The sequence below is a fragment of the Homo sapiens genome, chromosome 1, assembly GCF_000001405.40.
Source record: "Homo sapiens chromosome 1, GRCh38.p14 Primary Assembly".
Taxonomy (NCBI): domain Eukaryota; kingdom Metazoa; phylum Chordata; class Mammalia; order Primates; family Hominidae; genus Homo; species Homo sapiens.
Genome location: NC_000001.11, coordinates 181120281 through 181138368, shown reverse-complemented (window position 1 = coordinate 181138368; position 18088 = coordinate 181120281). Strand labels below are relative to the sequence as shown.

Here is an 18088-nt window from a genome sequence, read left to right as displayed (position 1 = left end):
CAACAAAGTGAGACCCTGTCTCAAAAAAATAACAATAAATGAAAAATAAAATAAGCGTAGATGCAGCAAGGTCTCCACCAATGGCTATACCTCCCCTGTGATCCTCCTGGAAGCATCATCCCCAATGGCATGTCCATCCTGGACACTGACTCCAGGGATTGGGCTTCTAAAGCTCATCCTCACCAAACCCAGCAGGGCCCTCTAACCACTAAGGCCCTCACACAACTCTGCTTGTCCTCCACTTTGAGTCAGTCACCAACCAGCACGACTTGGCAGGTTCTATAGCATCCACCTCCCAAAATCCCTTCACGCCATAACGCTTCCCGACCATGGGAGCATTTTGTCATCAATCTCTTCAATGTGCTTCATTCAACAAACATTTATGAACAGCCTCACAGTCAAGCACTGTTCTGGACTCTGCAACTATAACTATTAACAGGCTTCCAAAATTACATTCTGGTGGAGGAGACACAATGTAAAAGGACACACATGAAAAAACAGAGCACTGTGGATTGTTTTTTTGTTCTCTGAAGGAACAAATGGGATCAGCCAAGAGAGTAGAGGGAGGCCACTTTAGGAAGGGACATCAAGAAAGATGTCTCTGAGGTGGAGGCCAAGATTTAAACTACACCTGACAGGTGCATCCTACAGTCTCAGGACAGCCACAGAAGGAGCCCAGAGCCAGGAAGGAGCTGGATGTCTTCAGGCAGCCCAGGGCAATGTGGTGGCAGAGAAAAGAGAAAGGAGGCGAGAAGCAGGAGGAGCAGAGGGACAGGGACAGGCTCAAAGCCGGGGGTTTCACTCTCAAGGCTGGGAAGCAGCATGGCCTGACAGACAGTTCAGCGCTCACTCCAGCTACCAAGAGGGGAATGGAACCTGGGGTCGGCGCAGGGGTGCCAGTGGGGAATCAAGAGTCCCATAGGCGGGTGGGGTGTGGTGGCTCACGCCTGTAATCCCAGCACTGTGGGAGGCCGAGGCGGTCAAGGGGTTCACGACCAGCCTGGCCAACATGGTGAAACCCTGACTCTACTAAAAATGCAAAAATGCAAAAATTAGCCAGGCGTGGTGCTGTGTGCCTGTAATCCCAGCTACTCAGGAGGCTGAGGCAGAGAATTGCTTGAACCCGGGAGGCAGAGGTTGCAGTGAGTTGAGATCACGCCACTGCACTCCAGCCTGGGTGACAGAACAAGACTTCATCTCAAAAACAAAGAGTCCCATAGGTGATCACCTTGTGTGGATGAGAAGCAATGACTCGGGGTTGGCGAAGAAGACGGAAGGCCCTAGAAGGATGGAAATACAATCTGAAGGGAGGTGTATTTTGGAGGCAGGACTAACCATTGGCATATTGTTGTTGTCAGACTTTAGGACAGTGTGTGAAGGAGCATCTCACCCTGGGAGTCAGAGACACTGGGGTGAGGGAAGTGGTCACGCATCCACAGAGGTGAGGAGCTGCTCAAGGCAGGCCCCGCTGTCTGTGTGCGTGCTCCGTGTCTCTGTGTGTGTGTGGTGTGTCTATGTGTCTGTGGTGTGTCTGTGTGTGATGTGTGTCTGTGTGTGTGGCGTATGTCTCTGTGTGTGGTGTGTCTATGTGTCTGTGGTGTGTCTGTGTGTGATGTGTGTCTGTGTGTGTGGCGTATGTCTGTGTGTGTGGTGTGTCTGTGTGTCTGTGGTGTGTCTGTGTGTGTGGTGTGTCTGTGTGTCTGTGGTGTGTCTGTGTGGTGTGTCTATCTGTGTGGTATGTGTGTGGTGTGTCTGTGTGTCTGTGGTGTGTCTGTGTGTGGAGTGTCTGTGTGTCTGTGGTGTGTCTTTGTGTGTGTGGTGTGTCTATGTGTGTAGTGTGTCTGTGTGTGTGTCTCTATGTATATGATATGTTTGTGTCTGTCTGTGGGGGGTATGTCCGTGTGTGTGTCTCTGTGTGTGTGTGCACACGTGCGCACAATTGAGGGAAGAGCTAAAAGCCTTCCAGAAAAATCCAGTAGGGGTTGGGGGTGGAAAGAGGCAGGCTTCGCCAAATACTAACAACCTGAATATTAAAAGAAGCTGTGCCTCTGGCCATGACATCATCGCTCCCTTCACAAAGTGTCCAATGGGGCATTTCCTGGTCATAGCAAAGGAATGGTGAAAATCAGCTGCACATCACAGCTGAATTGCTTTCTCCTATTGTTTTCTCATAAATATGAGGTTCTGAGCTATAGGTGGGCATTTCCAAGCTAGCTTCAGAACTGTGCCTCCATTCCCACAGTAATTCTGCAAGGCAAGGGGTTCTGCGTTCCTAACAAGCGGTCTAGAAATAAAGCCTTGGGAACAACTCAGAGGAAGTCACTCGGCCTTACACAAATTGCAGGCGGAGGACAGTTCCCTCTTTTGCAGATCACACTGTCACAAATCAGCTTTTTCTTATAAATCAGCATCTCTGCTGCTTACTCATGTTCAGCTTGTGGCCAACTATGACACTCCAGGAATTGTTTTCTTCTGTAATTTGACCCAGGAGGGTTTGAGCTGTAGTTTTTATGCCGGTTCGTAGTAGTATGGCCCAGAGGAGCCATCACAGGCAGCATTCTGAAGGAGTCTTTTAGAGAAAGCTGCACCTCCTTATGAACAAAGGCTAAAGAAAGTTTATTATCTTGGAATCCAGGGTGAAAACAATTCAGTTTTTTAAAGATCTATAAAAGTTACCCAAGGCTTCTTAGACCCTGCCAGTCTGAGACACAAAAACAATAGAAATCCATATTTGCCTGGCTCTGAACCACACCGCTGCAGCTCCCCCACCCCTAGAACCCCACCCAGCAGTTCCAGATGTCCCCACAAGGGCTCTCAAGTTCTCCAGAGAGGACAGTAGTCAGAGGCTCAGACAGGCAGGGACTCCAATGATGACTGGTGACGTGAGCCTCAGTTTCCTTATCTGTAAACTGCAAAATGTAAAATCTGAAAAGCGGAGATAAATCTCACTTCATGGTGTTGTTCTAAGGACTAAACGATCCAATATATGTAAAAGACCTAAGCCCAGTGCCAGGCATCTGGTAAGTAGTCAATAAATGCTACCCACCACTACTACCAGCCACCCCCATTACAGCCTCCTCATCAATACCCATCCCTGCTCCGGCTCGCCTCCCTCCCGACTCGGGCGTTCTCTCCATGCCTCAGATCCAGTCACCTCTCCCAAGGATCTCCTTGGTCTTCTCAGGAACCTGGCCAGCCTGCCCCAGCAGACATGCCCGGGCATGCCTCCCTCACCCTCAGCCTCATGCTGGGCTGCTGCCACGCAGATGCAGACACCCAGGGACACACAGGCAGAAACACCCCACTACAGTCTCGCTGCTCTCTGTCCTTGCCTGCCCCTCCCATGGGGCACACCCATCCCCAGGCTCCCAAGCTGGGGGACCAAGGCTCTGAAGAAACTAGCGCCTGGCAGGGATGGCACTGTGAAACCACAAGGCTGTTTAAGAGTCACGGTCACTGTCAGGGGGCCCACAGGAGAAGTCAGTAGTGAAAGCCAAACACAAAACACCCAGGATGAAATCAGGCAAATTGGAGAAAGTAGCTGGGGGCACAAGGACACTTGGGTGGAAGACAGAGGAAAGATGCGGGTCACATAGCAGCTTCCCCTAATTCCCACGCTCCTCCACCCCGCCTTGAAAATCTGGCATTGTCAACACAAAGCCGGAAAAACCCTGGAGGCAACAATCTCAAACCTGAGACTTAATAAATGCCAACTCTGTCATTTACAGAATGACCTTTGACAAGTCTCTCTTCTTCTGGGGGAACCACAATTTCCTCTTTTTTTTTTTTTTTTTTTTGAGACGGAGTTTCACTCTTGTCACCCAGGCTGGAGTGCAATGGCACGATCTCGGCTCACTGCAACCTCTGCCTCCTGGGTTCAAGCAATTCTCCTGCCTCAGCCTCCCAAGTAGCTGGGATTACAGGCATGCGCCACCACGCCAGCTAATTTTGTATTTTTAGTGGAGACGGGGTTTCTCCATGTTGGTCAGGCTGTTCTCGAACTCCCGACCTCAGGTGATCTGCCCGCCTTGGCCTCCCAAAGTGCTGAGATTACAGGCGTGAGCCACCACGCCCGGCCCACAATTTCCTCATTTCAAAACAGGAGAGCAGCCCAAATGGCATGAATATCTGCAGGCAGGCCCTGGCCGCTGCCCTTACCTCAGCTGCACTCATTAATTCACCTTCCCTGAGCGCCTGCTCTGTGCTGGGGGCCACTAGGCCTGGGAAGCAAAGGCTGAAGGCTGCTGGAGAAATCTGGTCTTAACCATTCCCACGCAGGCATGTGGGCAGGCAGTGCGGGCTGGGTGTGCAGAGAATGCACTGAATTCACCTACAGGGTCTGTCGCCTGAGCCTCTTGAAGGAACACAGGGAATTCAGGTAGAGAAGGCAGAGAGGACATTCCAGGAAGGGAAATGAAGGTGGGGAGGGAATGACAAGTGTGGGGTTTCTCAGGGTAGAAGAAGTTGTGAAGCGAGGGGTAGCAGGTGTGAGGCTGGAGGATTACGGCCATGTGCTCTCTCAGGAGCCTGTGGGAGGTGGGCGTATCCCATCCAGGCCAGGAGCCGCAGGAACCTGTCTGTGCCTTGGGTCAAGGTCATGCTGACTGCCTGAGCAGCAGGGGCCTGGTTGGGCGATCCCTGGAGAGGCAAGGGGCCAGCACAAGGTGGTGGCAGTGGGAACAAAGAGATGGAGAGGAGGGGAAATGGGGAGAAGCTGGCTCTCTGTAGAGAGTGCCACTGGCTCAGTCAGTTCAGGGATGCAAAGCAGACTCATTTTAAAGACCTGCTGTTCCCTTCTTCCCACTATACTCAGCAGCTTCAACCCCTCACTCCCTTGAATAAGACCAGCCTGTAATTAGCAAACCTCAGTAAACAAACCAGTGGTAGCGTCCTCAGCCCAGGCTGCAGGTTAGCCTCATATGGGGAGCTTGGGAACTTTTTAAATGCCAGTGTCCATGACCTTCCCCAGACCCAGGGAATCAGAACCTCTAGGGATGGGGGACTAGACTGCTGCATTTTTTTCAAGCTTCCAGGTAATTCTAATGTGCAGCCAGGGTTGAGACCTACTGGGCAGGCGTCTTTAGAATCGCTGGTTTCCTTAAGCTGATGATCTTCTAGTGCCTTAGTGAGGTGGGGATGCTGTCTCATCCAGGCCTTTGCTCCTGCTGTTCTCATTGCAGAGATCACTGTTGTCCCTTTCCCCCTGCCTGGGTCAGTTTCCTACCTACCTCAGGTCTCAGCTGAGGCAATATTTTCTCTGCAGAGGCACCCCCAAGCTCCCCAAATCTGGGTCATGGGCTGCTCCTATACTGTTCTTGCCTGTTTACGTGTCTGTACCTCCCAACTCTTACCTCTTCTGGGGTGGGGGGGATTTTAGCTTAGCTATCATTTATCCGACATGGAGTAGACACAATATACACACTTCTTGGGTGAGAAAATGAATGAATGAATCTTATTTACACTCCCATTTGCTTCTTCCTAGAATTGGAATTAATTCAAGTCCAAAATTTGAGTTCAAAAAGTTTTTCCCCTGTACCAGTAGAGTGTTTGAAAAGAGGAGGGAAGACCGGGTGTGGTGGCTCACACCTGTAATCCCAGCACTTTGGGAGGCCAAGGTTGGGTGGATCACCTGAGGTCAGGAGTTTGAGACCAGCCTGGCCCAACATGGTGAAACCCCGTCTCTACTAAAAATACAAAAATTAGGCTGGGCGCAGTGGCTCACACCTGTAATCCCAGCACTTTGGGAGGCCAAGGCAGGCAGATCACAAGGTCAGGAGATCGAGACCATCTGGCTAACACAGTGAAACCCCGTCTCTACTAAAAATACAAAAATTAGCCGGGCGTGGCAGCGTGTGCCTGTAGTCCCAGCTGCCGGGGAGGCTGAGGCAGGAGAATGGCGTGAACCCGGGAGGCGCAGCTTGCAGTGAGCCGAGCCACTGCACTCCAGCCTGGGCAACAGAGCAAGACTCTGTCTCAAAAAAAAAATACAAAAATTACCTGGGCGTGGTGGCAGGCGCCTGTAATCCCAGCTACTCGGGAGGCTGAGGCAGGAGAATGGTGTGAACCCAGGAGGCAGAGCTTGCAGTGAGTCGAGATTACGCCACTGCACTCCAGCCTGGGCAACAGAGTGAGACTCCATCTCAAAAAAAAAAAAAAGGAGGTGAACAGGTGGGTGGAGGGGACAGGATACTCACAGCCAGGACGGCCACTCCAGCAGCAGGAAGCTCCCTCCTCCATCTGCCAGGCAGTGCCTTTGCCATGGCCCCTTGAACCAAAATGTCTCCCCCTTCCCCTGCTGCCTCTGGATCCAGGCACGCTGTCACACCCACAAGGCCTGGAGCTTCGGAAGGATGGAAGAGGTTTTTCCGGGGAAACAGAGAGAAGGCCTTGCTGGGTCTGGGAGGGGGACTTACCCCCTCTAAGGAAATTCTTTATCAGCAACTTCCCTGAAGGTCTGAGGGACACCCCCACCCCTGGAGGCCTTGCACAGGGGAGCACCTGCAGACATGGCCTGCACAGTCGCAGTCTCTGACCCTCAGCACCAGCTGGTCACTGGGGCCCTGCAGCTCCCCGGGGCATCCAAGGTTCCAGTGCCACTGGGAGGTGCAGAATGTAAGGCCAAGAATCACAAAGGGTGAGCTCAGCACCTGGCGGGGTGGGAGGAGGGTGGGCAAGGAAGAAGCTGAACATGTTCCAGACAAGGTTTTAGGGTTGATTATCAGGGAGCCCCTGCTGTTCACTGTTGGCCCCCCCGAAGGTCCAGCAAACCACTGACAACCACCAGGTTCAAAATAAAAATCCACTCCCTCCTTCTTCTTCCCGTCCCCTCCCCGACTCAAAGGCACCTTCTCTCTGTGACTTCCCCATTTCTATAAATAACCCCTCCATCATCATTTCAGTCACTTTTGAATCCTCTCAGGCCCCGACTCTCACCCACTCATCCCCTGTCCCCACCCAGTGTCCCTGTAGATGCGGCCTCCTCACCACCCCTCCATCTTTGTGCCCCCACAGTGCTTTTCTGCCTCAGCCCTGCTGCTCTTTGTTCCCCTGCATTCCAACCCCTCAGGCCACTGCCAGGACAGGCCCACCCATGGGACTTCCCTCATCAAAACCATCATCAGACCCCACCCCTATAAAGAAAATACAGCCTCCCCGAGTGGCATTAAGACTTCATACAATGAACCAGGTGATGTGGCACAGGTCTGTAATCCCTGCTACTAGCAAGACTGAGGTGGGAGGATCACCGCATCCCAGGAGTTCAAGGCCAGCCTGGGCAACATAGTGAGACCTCATCTCAAATAAATAAATAAATAAATAAATAAATAAATAAATAAATAAATAAATGAATAAATGGAGAATGGAAAAAAAAAAAAGACTCCACAAATGGACAACATGCCTCCCTGGCCTGACTCTTCCAAACAGCACTCCACAATCTGCCCTTTTCTCAGATCCCAAAATAGGCCCTGTGCTTTGGTGCCTGCTATTTTCTCCATTTGGAAGAAATATCACCCTTCCAAGAGTCAATGTCCTGCTCATTCTTCAAGGCCTCCTCCATGCAACCCTCCCTGACACCCCCACCAGCTGTGCCCCTCCTCCACTGCACTCCTTCAGGCCCAGCCTTTGTTGACCCCTGGCCACAGTTTGGAGAGCAGTTTCGCCCCTTATTGGCTGTGTGATGGTGGGCAAGTCCCTTAGCCTCTCTGGGCCACGGCTTCTTCATCCTTCTCAAGGGTGCTGCAAGGACTGATTGGGACCACCTGCCGTGCAAAGCCCTGCACGTCGTAAGTGCTCGATACACAGCAGTTGCTGCAAGTCATCTCTAGCCCTTCTTCAGGTGGCTCAGCTGTGAGCCTGTCTGCAGATGCACACGAACAGACATCTCCCAAGATCTCTGCTTGCTGTCAGCTGTCCGCTGGCCACATCTGGTGACCTTGCTCAGGGATCTTCTGAGCCGCAGCCTGCCCTTCCTCAAGGTGAGCGTGCCCCGCTGGCAGCAATTGCTTCCCCCGTGGCCTGCCCTGCTCCCCATGGCTCCTCGGGGAGCATGTCTAAGGCACATTCTCCTCCAGAGCCCAGCAGGGCTGAACCACTGCAGGGACATTTTGAGGCAGGATGGAGCACCCCCACACCAGCACTGGAGCTGCAAAGTGCTTCCTAGAGCTGCCAGCCTGTGATCTTCAAGTGAACTTAATGGTGGAAGAAAAAAATCTTGACACTTGGTTGATGTTAAATGGACCTACATGCACTAAATCAGTCACACTCAACTTTCTCATGCCTAGTGTGCTCTCCCAGTGCCTCAGTCGTGCGTTCATTTGCAAAGATTTCCCACTTCAAGGACAGTACTTTCCAGATGGGACTGGAAGACAGACCCTGATAAGGCCTTATGCAGATGACTTGGCAGATTTTGGGCTAACCACACCTCAGGGCCAGAGTGTAGAGGGAGGGGGCCACTGCCTGGAAGAACTCAGCAGGGAGAGGAGCTCAACTCTGAGCGGGCTCCAGGAACAGAGCCAGGGAAAGGCAGGCATTCAACCCAAGTCCAGTCTGTATTGTCCTCAGCAGAGAAAATAGCCCATTCTCTGTGTCCTCTGTGACTACACCAAATGCAGACCGTGAGCCCAAATGAACATGGCACCAGAGAAGCACAAAGCCACATGCTTTTATTGTTATTCCTGTGTCTGCATCATTCATGCCACGCCATTGGGACCTGATGGAAGACACGGGATGTTCTGCCATCCGGCAGGGGACAGGTGCTTCAAAGCCTGTAAAATCCCAAACGTGACATTCTTTAAAGTCATGCCTCTAATGCCCTCAGTAATGCATTTTTACTCCCCAGGTGAACCCCATCAAAGGGGTATTAGTAGGAGACGTTTTCTTCCCACCCCTAGGGAGTCCGCAGTTGGTGCCTGCCATGACTGGGAACCAACCTGCATGGCCACTGGGCAGGGCCAGGCTGGGCCCCAGGCTGCTCTGCGGAAATTCACGCTGCAGGTCTCAGCCGCCCCTCCCTTTGACCCTCAGCCTGACCAGGGAAGGGCATCCGACCCACACACTCTCACTTCCTCTTTCCAAGAACAGAAATAAGGCACCAACTTAACACATTGTACTTGGAGAGAGTCTTGCACCCCTTTCAACTCCTGGACATCGTTCTTTCCTGAGTGCTTTTCTTCCCTCTTCTGCAGCACTCCCTTTCCTCTCCACACAGCATTCTGGTTCTGGCTTGCTCTCTCTGCTCTCTTCTCCCTTTGAGCTCTCGTACCCAGGATCCTAGAGCGTCCGTTCCTTCTGGGCTTTCTTTCTCCCCCCCATCTCTCATGTCTCCCTCCTCCTTTCCTCCTAAGTCCCAAGCCTAGAGTCCCCTCCACCTCTTTCCCAGGCCCTGCTCCCCTCTGTCTCAAACTCCTCCTTCTCCTCAATTCAGAAGAAAGCTGGCCAGAGAGATCTCCTGTCTCCTCCCCCTTCACTTCCCCTCCTCTCCCCGCAGGCACACAAAAGGGGACAGAGGCACCAGATGGCCCGGTGCTAAAAGAGGGGCTCAGGGAGGCTGCCGCCCACAGAGGCCCCTGCTGGGCCTTCAAGCTAGTCCAAGCTGCTGCCGGGCCCAGCCGCCCAGCTGGCAGAGGAGCAGGGCAGAGGACCAGCATCCCCAGTACGAGGCCAGCTCCCCCTGCCCGGCCTGCCCTGGGGCCAGCCTGGAGAGGGAGCACGCTTGCCAGCTGAAAAGCAGAGGGTGTCACCATGTGTCCAAGCCTCAAGCGCCAGGGGCAAGGGTCCGATGGCCCGTGGGGACACTGGGCTTCCTCAGGAAGAAGGAGAGGAGTGGCTGGCAGTCTGCTCTTTCTATGGAACAGGCTGTGCCAAGGAGGGGGCCTCAGCAATGGGTGAGCAGACCACAGGGGAGCCAACAATCCCCCAGTCCCCTCACAAAAAAGAAGATTTAATGACGCATTGGTTAATGTTAACAGCTACCATTCATTCAGTGGTTAGCTGGGCCAGGCATTATGCTAAGTCATTTCCTATAACATCCCTAATCCTTCAAGAGTTCTGCAGGGTAAACATTTTGATCCCTATTGTACAGACAAGAAAACTGAGGCTAAGAGAGGTTAAATGACTTCCCCAGGCATCATAGCTGGAAAGTCAGTTAACACAGTTTATTCCAGGGTTCAAGCGATCCTCCCACCTCAGCCCCACAAGTGATTAGGTCTATAGGCACGCACCACCCTGCCCATAGTGAGACAGGATCTTACTGTGTTGCCCAGGCTGAGCTCAAATGACCCCCCCAGCCCCACCACAACCACCACCTTGGCCTCTCAAAATGCTGGGATTACAGATATGAGTCACGGTGCCCGGCCTAGTTAATACAGTTTAAAGTTTCTTTTCCAGTTAAGATTCTGTAAGTCCTGCTAAGGTGGTGTTGCAAAAGCAGGCACCTAACAATGTCCCCACTAAGGCCTTCAATAAAGCCACAGGCAGGCCAGGCGCGGTGGCTCATGCCTGTAATCCCAGCACTTTGGGTGGCCAAGGCAGGCAAATCACATAAGTTCAGGAGTTTGAGACCAGCCTGGCCAACATGGTAAAACCCCGTCTCTACTAAAAATACAAAAAAATTAGCTGAGTGTGGTGGCACATGCCTGTAATCCCAGCTACGCAGGAGGCTAAGGAAGGAGAATTGCTTGATCCTGGGAGGCAGAGGTTGCAGTGAGCCAAGATTCCACCACTGCACTCCAGCCTAGGCGACAGAACAAGACTCCATCTCAAAAAAAAAAAAAAAAAAAAAAAAGCCACAGGCAGAAGCTTCCAATTCAGTTCTCCATTGCACATGCCTGTGTTGCTTTTTTAAACATCAAGCTCCCAAGTCCCCTCCTCTGGAGGTTCTGATGTACCCCAGCCTCTCCGGAGACACTTGTGCAGGAACAAGAGCTGTGAAGCAGGGCAGACTCGAGTTCCCAGTACCAGTCACGTGACATGGGAAAAGCTACTTCCAACCCTTGGAGCCTCAGTTTCCTACTATTAAAAAAAAAAATGGAGATAATAATGTTTGCTTTACCCATGTGTCATGAGGAGTCTAGGCTGCTTGGCACAGTGCCAGGTGCTCCATAGGTGCTCTGCTGACGTCAGCTCCCCTTTCCTGCCCTTCAGAAACCTGATGCTGCAGCATCCACACTTCAGAGAGCTAAAAAGAAAGGGGCATAGCCCATGGATACTACTCCAGTTAAGCTGACCTTTGGTTCTGGCCTTAATCTAAGTCCGTGCACCCTGCCCCAGGGTCAGGCAGCTCCCACAGGGCTGCAGGACAACAACAAGCCGGCGTAGGCTGGGGGATTTCCAGGGGCGGGACCTCTGCTTTCAGAACTTCCACGGAAAGGCCTCAAAACTGACCAGCTCCACCTGCAAAAGGTCACTATCCAGGCTGGCTGAGAGTCTCTGGAAACCTATCAGTCCATCAAACTGTTCCCCAGTCTTCCTTCCATCATCTGCCAGAGCCCGTATTTCCAGAGCCACCTCTACCAGCTGCCCCTCTGGATGCAACAGGCCCGCCCCCAGGTTCAAGCCCTCCTGCCTGGCCCAGCCGCCATGAGCCCCTCAGGCCATTCTCTCCTGCCAGCCCTAGGCATTTCCCAACCCTCACCTAAAACCCATGTCCCAATTTAAAAGGCAATGAGTGGCTTCCAAATACACCCTTACCTGTTTACTCAGAGTTGACTTTGAGTTACCTGGAAGATGCGCCCACTCCCAATAGCCTGGGTGACAATCTTTCCTTTCCACCTTTTTAACAGAGGACAAGTGAGTTCCAGGAAATGCCTGGAGTGCCTAGCTACCTCTCTGGAGTACACTCAAACCCACACTCATTCTCGCTAAGCAACTTGGCGGAGGCCCTGTTTCACAGGCACCATGCTGGGCACATCTGCCTTCCTCAGCTCCCCTTCTTGAGAAACTGGGAGGTAGGTGCCGGTATCTTTATTTTATACATGAGGGGACTGAAGCATTAGGCCATCTGTATAAGCTCCCACATCTGATGAGTGGTGAACTCAGGATTTAATCCCAGGACTTCTGGGTCCCAGACAAGAGCATTTTCTACTCCACTGTGTCTGCCTCTAAAATCTACCTCAGGCCAGGCGTGGTGGCTCATGCCTGTAATCCCAGCACTTTGGGAAGCCAAGGCAGGTGGATTACCAGCGATCAGGAGTTCAAGACCAGCCTGACCAACATGGCAAAACCCTGTCTTTACTAAAAATACAAAAATTAGGCCGCACAGTGGCTCACGCCTGTAATCCCAGCACTTTGGGAGGCCAAGGCAGGCGGATCACAAGGTCATGAGATCGAGACCATCCTGGCTAACATGGTGAAACCCCATCTTTACTAAAAAAAAAAAAAAATACAAAAAATTAGCCGGGCATGGTGGCAGGTGCCTGTAGTCCCAGCTACTCAGGAGGCTGAGGCAGGAGAATGGCATGAACCTAGGAGGCGGAGCTTGCAGTGAGCAGAGATCGCGCCACTGCACTCCAGCCTGGGCGACAGAGTGAGACTCCGTCTCAAAAAAAAAAAAAATACAAAAATTAGCCAGTGTGGTGGCGCCGCCTGTAATCCCAGCTACTCAGGAGGCTGAGAAAGGAGAATGGCTTGAACCCAGGAGGCAGAGGTTGCAGTGAGCAGAGATCGCGCCACTGTACTCCAGCTTGAGCAATAGAGTGAGACTCCATCTCAAAAAAATAAAATAAAATAAATCTACCTCAAATCTATTTCTCACCCTCTTTGTTGCCCCCATCCAAGGGGGCACCTTCCAAGCCACCACAGCCGAGGCCTGGGTGACTATAATGGCCTCCCAACTGGTCTCCCTGTTCTCACTCTTGGTCACAACCATCCATTTTCCACAACAGCCAGGATGGTCCTTCTCATGAAGTGATCATGTTGCTCCCCTGCTGCACAAAAAATAAAATCAAACTCCTCCCCATGGCATATAAGGCCTGTGTGATCTGTCCCTTCCCCCTCCCCGCTGTCCCTGATACCCCTTCCATTCTTGAAGTCTTTTCCTACTCTGGGATCTTGGCACTTGATGTTTCTTCTCCTTTCCTCTTGTTGCTCCGTATATTACTTTATTTTATTTTCTTCATAGCATTTATAACTATCTGAACCTTTTAAATTTATTTACATCTTGGGTGTTTGTCTGTCTCCATTGACCAATGTAAGCTTCACAAGACAATTTTATCATGCTTTCCATGGCACCCTTGTGCCTGGAACAGCACCTGGCCAATAGTAAGTGCTCAATAATTATCCACTGGATGAATGAATGAGGAGGTCTCCCTAAGGAGACCTCAGAGATGATGGGGCTGAAAGACATCAGAGGAGAAGAAAGCTGGGGCAGTTTCACCTGCAATATGTTCAACAGAAATGGCCCCACTGAGCCTCACAGTCAGCCATGCGACAGTGCACCTCGTGTCTGGGACAGAAGAAAGATGGTCAATGTGTGCCCCAAAAGAGGGAACTATTTGGAAACTGGGAGGGTAAAGAAATAATAAAAATGTTGGGTTTTGTAGTGGTGGCTGTTATTTTTTAAGCCCACTCAAGGGGGGTTTTCTGCAGTGGCTCAACATAAGCAAACACTAGAACTAAAAAAAAAAAAAAAAAAAAGAGGAATTAGAAAACTGGAAAGAACTAAATGCTGCAGCTAAAATGGAATAGGTTCCCCAGAGTCTGATCTCATGTGTGTGGGCTAACATGACTCTTAGGGAGGCCTCCTCCAGAAGAAAACAAAGCAGAAGGAGGAGGAGGAGGGAGGAAGAGGAAGGAGGAGGAGGAAGAGGAACGAGGAAGGAGGAGGAGGAACAACGAAGGAGGAGGGGGAGGAAGAGGAGGAGGAGGAGAAGGGGAGGAAGAGATGGGGGAGGAAGGAAAGGGGAAGCAGGGAAGGGGAGGAGGAGAAACAGCAGCCACCAACAAGGCAGCCCAGTGACCATAACATGGGAGTAGTCCATTGACAGAAGTCCTTCACACTGATGGTCACATGGGGAAGTCTCTGTCCATGTTCCTAGCATGCACTCTGACTTCAGAGAGACACTAGTATAAATAGGGTGAGAAGATGTAGGGTGGAAAGCAATCTAGCACCCATGTGAAAACTCAAGTCCCTTCTTCCCACCTCCTGCAGCCTGGTCTGAGCCCCTCCTGTTCTGAAAGCTGTGCTTGGCTGGGCTCTCCCTGCTGCAGACTGTCTGAGGATACTCAGTGCCTCAGAAGACATGGGCCACATCTCTCTGAAGCACCGATTCTACTTGATTATTTGGTGGAAGGTATTTTTATTAAACAGAGATTTTGTTTTGCCATAGATGCAAAACGTACATGACTTTTTTTTTTTTTTTTTTTTTTTTTTTTTGAGACAGGGCCTCACTCTGTGGCCCAGGCTGGAGTGCAGTGGCACCATCACAGCTCACTGCAGCCTCAACTTCTGGGCTCAGGTGATCCTCCACCTCAGCCTCCCAAGTAGCTGGGATTACAGGCATGCACCATCACGCCCAAATTTTTATATTTTTTTGTAGAGATGGGGTTTTGCCATGTTGCCCAGGCTGGTCTCGAATTCCTGGGCTCAAGCGATCCTCCTGCCTCAGCCTCCCAAAGTGCTGGGAATTACAGGTGTGAGCCACTGTGCCCGGTCACAATGAACGTGAGTTTTTAAGATAAGATGTGAGTTTTTCATACATTTTACACCTGTAGTACTTACTACAAATTGCCCAAAGGGCATTTACTCTCTCCTGTTTTTCAGCAGTATTAGGAAAAGCAGTATAGTGGTTAGGTGCATGGGCTCTGGGACTGCACTGCCTGAGTTTGAATCCAGGCTCTGCTTGTATGACCTTGGACAAGTTACTCCACCATTCTGTGCCTCAGTGTCTGCATCTGTAAAGTTGGGATGATAGTAATAGCACCATCCTCATAGAACTAGGTGAGTTCATGCATGTAAGGTGCTTGTTCAGAACAGTGCCTGACTCACGGTGAGCACTAAGTGTCAGTTATTTTATTACTCTGGTAGACAGGCTGAGAAGCTGTCAGAGCCCACAACAGCCAGTCCCTTGCCACCTTGAGCTACCTTCTCTCCCCAAAAAGAGTACTGGTAACAAGGGGGGTGGGGACAATGGTCTGGCTCTTGGGTGTGACTGATGAGGTACAGGCACTAACTAGCAGCTGTCCCAGACACACGGCGCCCCCTCCAGAGGGGTGGACATGAAGGAACCATGGGGCTCACTTCAGGCCTCTGCCACAAGCTGCTTCCCTTACCTGGAAGGCACTTCCCAGCTGTTCCCCATCACTGTCTTCCCCTTTCCCCCACCAACTCCAACCCATCCTCAGGACCAGAGCTGGGACTAAGGACACAAAGTGTAAGGGGGCACTCACTCCCAGGGTCATGCAAGTGCTCAGGCCTCGGCTCAGCTCTCATCTTCTCCAGGATGCCTTCCCTGAGTCCCATCCATCCAAGTCTTCCTGGTGTCCCTCACTGCACTCACCTCCAGTCAAATGCCATTGTAACCCATTGCCTTGTCAGGCTGCCCCCTGTGCATGAGCTCCTGGGGGTCAGGTGCATTTCCTCATTCTTTTTCTACCTATAGAGCCTCACACTTGGCAAGCACAGAGAAGGCACCCGATAAGTGTTTGGTGAATAAGTGTTGAATGGATCATTCTCTAGGGGATCCCAAAGCCAGCAAAAGTAAAATAATATGTTCATCTCCCAGGTAAGAGACTAGAAAAGGGGCCAAGGAAGGGAGAAGAGAAGGAGGGGAGCATGGAGAGAGCGCTAGGAATTGGATGATGGTAGAAATTCTCCTGACCTTAGGAAAGACACCCAAGAACAAGGGAGAGCACTCCCTTCTCCTCCTTCCTGAGAAGCATGGCATTCTGGAATGCACCCAATCATTCCTTCATTCATGCAATAGTCCTGTGCTGGGCACCAGCTGGCACCAAGCACACTGCTGAGCAAGGAGACAGGGAGGGGAGGGCCCTGCTCCAGGCTCCTGGGAAAACCCGGGGCCCAGCTCTGTTTCTGCTTCTCTCCATGCTGAAATGGGCCACGGGGGCATAGGCCCAATGTGCCTGGTCGTGGAGTCACAATGCTGTCAGCCTTCAGGCCACTTTGTGACAATCCTACCGTAGGAATTGTGCCTCTGGAGAGACACAGTAAGGTGTGATGAAAACGCACCACAAGACCAGGCACAGTAGCTCCTGTCTGTAATCCCAGCACTTTGGGAGGCCAAGGTGAGAGGATCATTTGAGGCCAGGAGTTCAAGACCAGCCTGGCCAACATGGTGAAACCCTGTCTCTACTAAAAATACAAATATTAGCTGGGCATGGTAGCACATGCCTGAGGTCCCAGCTACTCAGGAGGCTGAGGCAGGAAAATCGCTTGAACCCAGGAAGCAGAGGTTGCAGTGAACCGAGATCATACCACCGCACTCCAGCCTGGGAAACAGAGCGAAATTCTGTCTCAAAAAGAAAAAAGAAAACACATCGAGTTGTGGGGACTTGGGCATCACTGATCCTCTTGTCCTGGTCCCCTATCCCTTGTCTACTCCCTTGTCACAGTCCTGATAGGCCTCCAGATAGCTAAGAAAAGAATCCCCACACTGGATAGCCTGCCTGTAAATAGGAGAGGCCAGAGGAGGCAGGGAAGGAGCAGATAATTCGCCTGGACTTGATCCCTAGGTGTGGCCCATAACCGCGGAGTGACTGTGGGTCTGCCATCTAGGCTTTCTGTGCCTCAGTCCTAGCATTGTGGGTTAAGTGACATAACACATGTAAAGGGCCGGCATAGAGTGTAGTAGGCTTCAACAAATGCTAACTCTCTTCCTTTGAATAATGAACTACACAAGATATACATAGTTTTCTAAAATTTATTTTATGTTGCAGTGTCTCCTCGACTTAAAACACTATTTTCTAAGGCTGTTCATTTGTCAAACAATGACTACAGTTGCCAAGCATCCAAAACTCCAATTCTGGTCAGCAGAGCCCCACGGTCTGTTCTGGGGACAGGTAGCAGAAGCGAGGGGCAATACCTCCACCTGGGGCATCTGGAAATGCTAACACAAAGGGGTGAAACTGGGGCTAGGTTGGAAGACACAAATAGAAGTTGGGGGGATGAGCAGAGATGGGTGAGAACAAGGGAGGCCAGAGAGAAAGAACAGCTTGAGCAAAGCATGTGGCAGACAAGAGGTGTGGCACACTCGGGAAACCACACACAGGTCACCTGCCTGGGGGACAGTAATGTGCAGGAAGATTGGATAGGAGATGTGGCACTGCAAACAATCAGGGTCCAGTCCAGAAGGGCCCTTCAACGAACATAATGGGTTTGCATTTATCTTGACAGAGAGGTACCTGCAGCAGCAATGTGGATGGGAGAGGGTGGGGAGGCTCCAGGCAGGGAGCCCAGGCTAGAGGCCATTCTGATAACCAGGCTGATACATGATTCAAGCCTGGATTAGGACAGTGGCCCAGGAGGGGAAAAGAGATGTTTAAGTGGTAAGAGAAACAGACCTAGAGAGTAGGAGCAAGAGAAAGGGAAGTATCTAGGAAAACATCCACATTCCAGGCAGCTGCACTGAGACTATTTACTGAGACAAGGGAACCCTGGAGGAGTCAAGAGCAGTGAACTTGGTTTTAGATAAAATGAATTTGAAATACTTAAAGGAGGCCGGGCGTGGTGGTTCACACCTGTAATCCCAGCACTTTGGAAGGCCGAGGCGGGTGGATCACCTGAGGCTCACCCCGTCTCCACAAAAATACACACACACAAAAATTAGCCGAGCATGATTGCGGGTACCTGTAATCCCAGCTACTCAGGAGGCTGAGGTGGGAGAATCGCTTGAACCCGGGAGGCAGAGATTGTAGGGAGCCAAGATCACGCCACTGCACCCCAGCCTGGGTGACAGAGCAAGACTCCATCTCAATAAATAAATAAATAAATAAATAAATAAATAAATACTTAAAGGACATCTAGGTGGTGTCCCATAGAACCTGCCAGCAGGATGAGTTCAAACCCAAATCTGGTGAGTATTCACTGTGTACTCTTAGGCCTCCACAGTTCTGTTTTCTTATCTGTAAAATGAGGCTG

General features: G+C 51.3%; 9 annotated features.

The window, feature by feature from the left end:
- Window positions 2356-2405: an enhancer, noted in NCBI's record as "active region_2181". NCBI's record gives its function as "activates an Ori minimal core promoter by ATAC-STARR-seq in GM12878 lymphoblastoid cells {active_cell/tissue: GM12878}" and the evidence as "EXISTENCE:reporter gene assay evidence [ECO:0000049][PMID:35858748]".
- Window positions 2603-3802: an enhancer, noted in NCBI's record as "MED14-independent group 3 enhancer chr1:181103703-181104902 (GRCh37/hg19 assembly coordinates)". NCBI's record gives its function as "activates an origin of replication core promoter dependent on BRD2, BRD4, P300/CBP and CDK7 cofactors, and independent of MED14, by STARR-seq in HCT116 cells {active_cell/tissue: HCT116}" and the evidence as "EXISTENCE:reporter gene assay evidence [ECO:0000049][PMID:35650434]".
- Window positions 2725-3308: an enhancer, noted in NCBI's record as "H3K27ac-H3K4me1 hESC enhancer chr1:181104197-181104780 (GRCh37/hg19 assembly coordinates)". NCBI's record gives its function as "activates a minimal SCP1, AML or CMV promoter by ChIP-STARR-seq in naive and primed H9 embryonic stem cells {active_cell/tissue: H9 hESC(naive and primed)}" and the evidence as "EXISTENCE:reporter gene assay evidence [ECO:0000049][PMID:30033119]".
- Window positions 3016-3435: an enhancer, noted in NCBI's record as "active region_2180". NCBI's record gives its function as "activates an Ori minimal core promoter by ATAC-STARR-seq in GM12878 lymphoblastoid cells {active_cell/tissue: GM12878}" and the evidence as "EXISTENCE:reporter gene assay evidence [ECO:0000049][PMID:35858748]".
- Window positions 6199-6248: an enhancer, noted in NCBI's record as "active region_2179". NCBI's record gives its function as "activates an Ori minimal core promoter by ATAC-STARR-seq in GM12878 lymphoblastoid cells {active_cell/tissue: GM12878}" and the evidence as "EXISTENCE:reporter gene assay evidence [ECO:0000049][PMID:35858748]".
- Window positions 6279-6458: an enhancer, noted in NCBI's record as "active region_2178". NCBI's record gives its function as "activates an Ori minimal core promoter by ATAC-STARR-seq in GM12878 lymphoblastoid cells {active_cell/tissue: GM12878}" and the evidence as "EXISTENCE:reporter gene assay evidence [ECO:0000049][PMID:35858748]".
- Window positions 7668-7777: an enhancer, noted in NCBI's record as "active region_2177". NCBI's record gives its function as "activates an Ori minimal core promoter by ATAC-STARR-seq in GM12878 lymphoblastoid cells {active_cell/tissue: GM12878}" and the evidence as "EXISTENCE:reporter gene assay evidence [ECO:0000049][PMID:35858748]".
- Window positions 8028-8107: an enhancer, noted in NCBI's record as "active region_2176". NCBI's record gives its function as "activates an Ori minimal core promoter by ATAC-STARR-seq in GM12878 lymphoblastoid cells {active_cell/tissue: GM12878}" and the evidence as "EXISTENCE:reporter gene assay evidence [ECO:0000049][PMID:35858748]".
- Window positions 9418-9517: an enhancer, noted in NCBI's record as "active region_2175". NCBI's record gives its function as "activates an Ori minimal core promoter by ATAC-STARR-seq in GM12878 lymphoblastoid cells {active_cell/tissue: GM12878}" and the evidence as "EXISTENCE:reporter gene assay evidence [ECO:0000049][PMID:35858748]".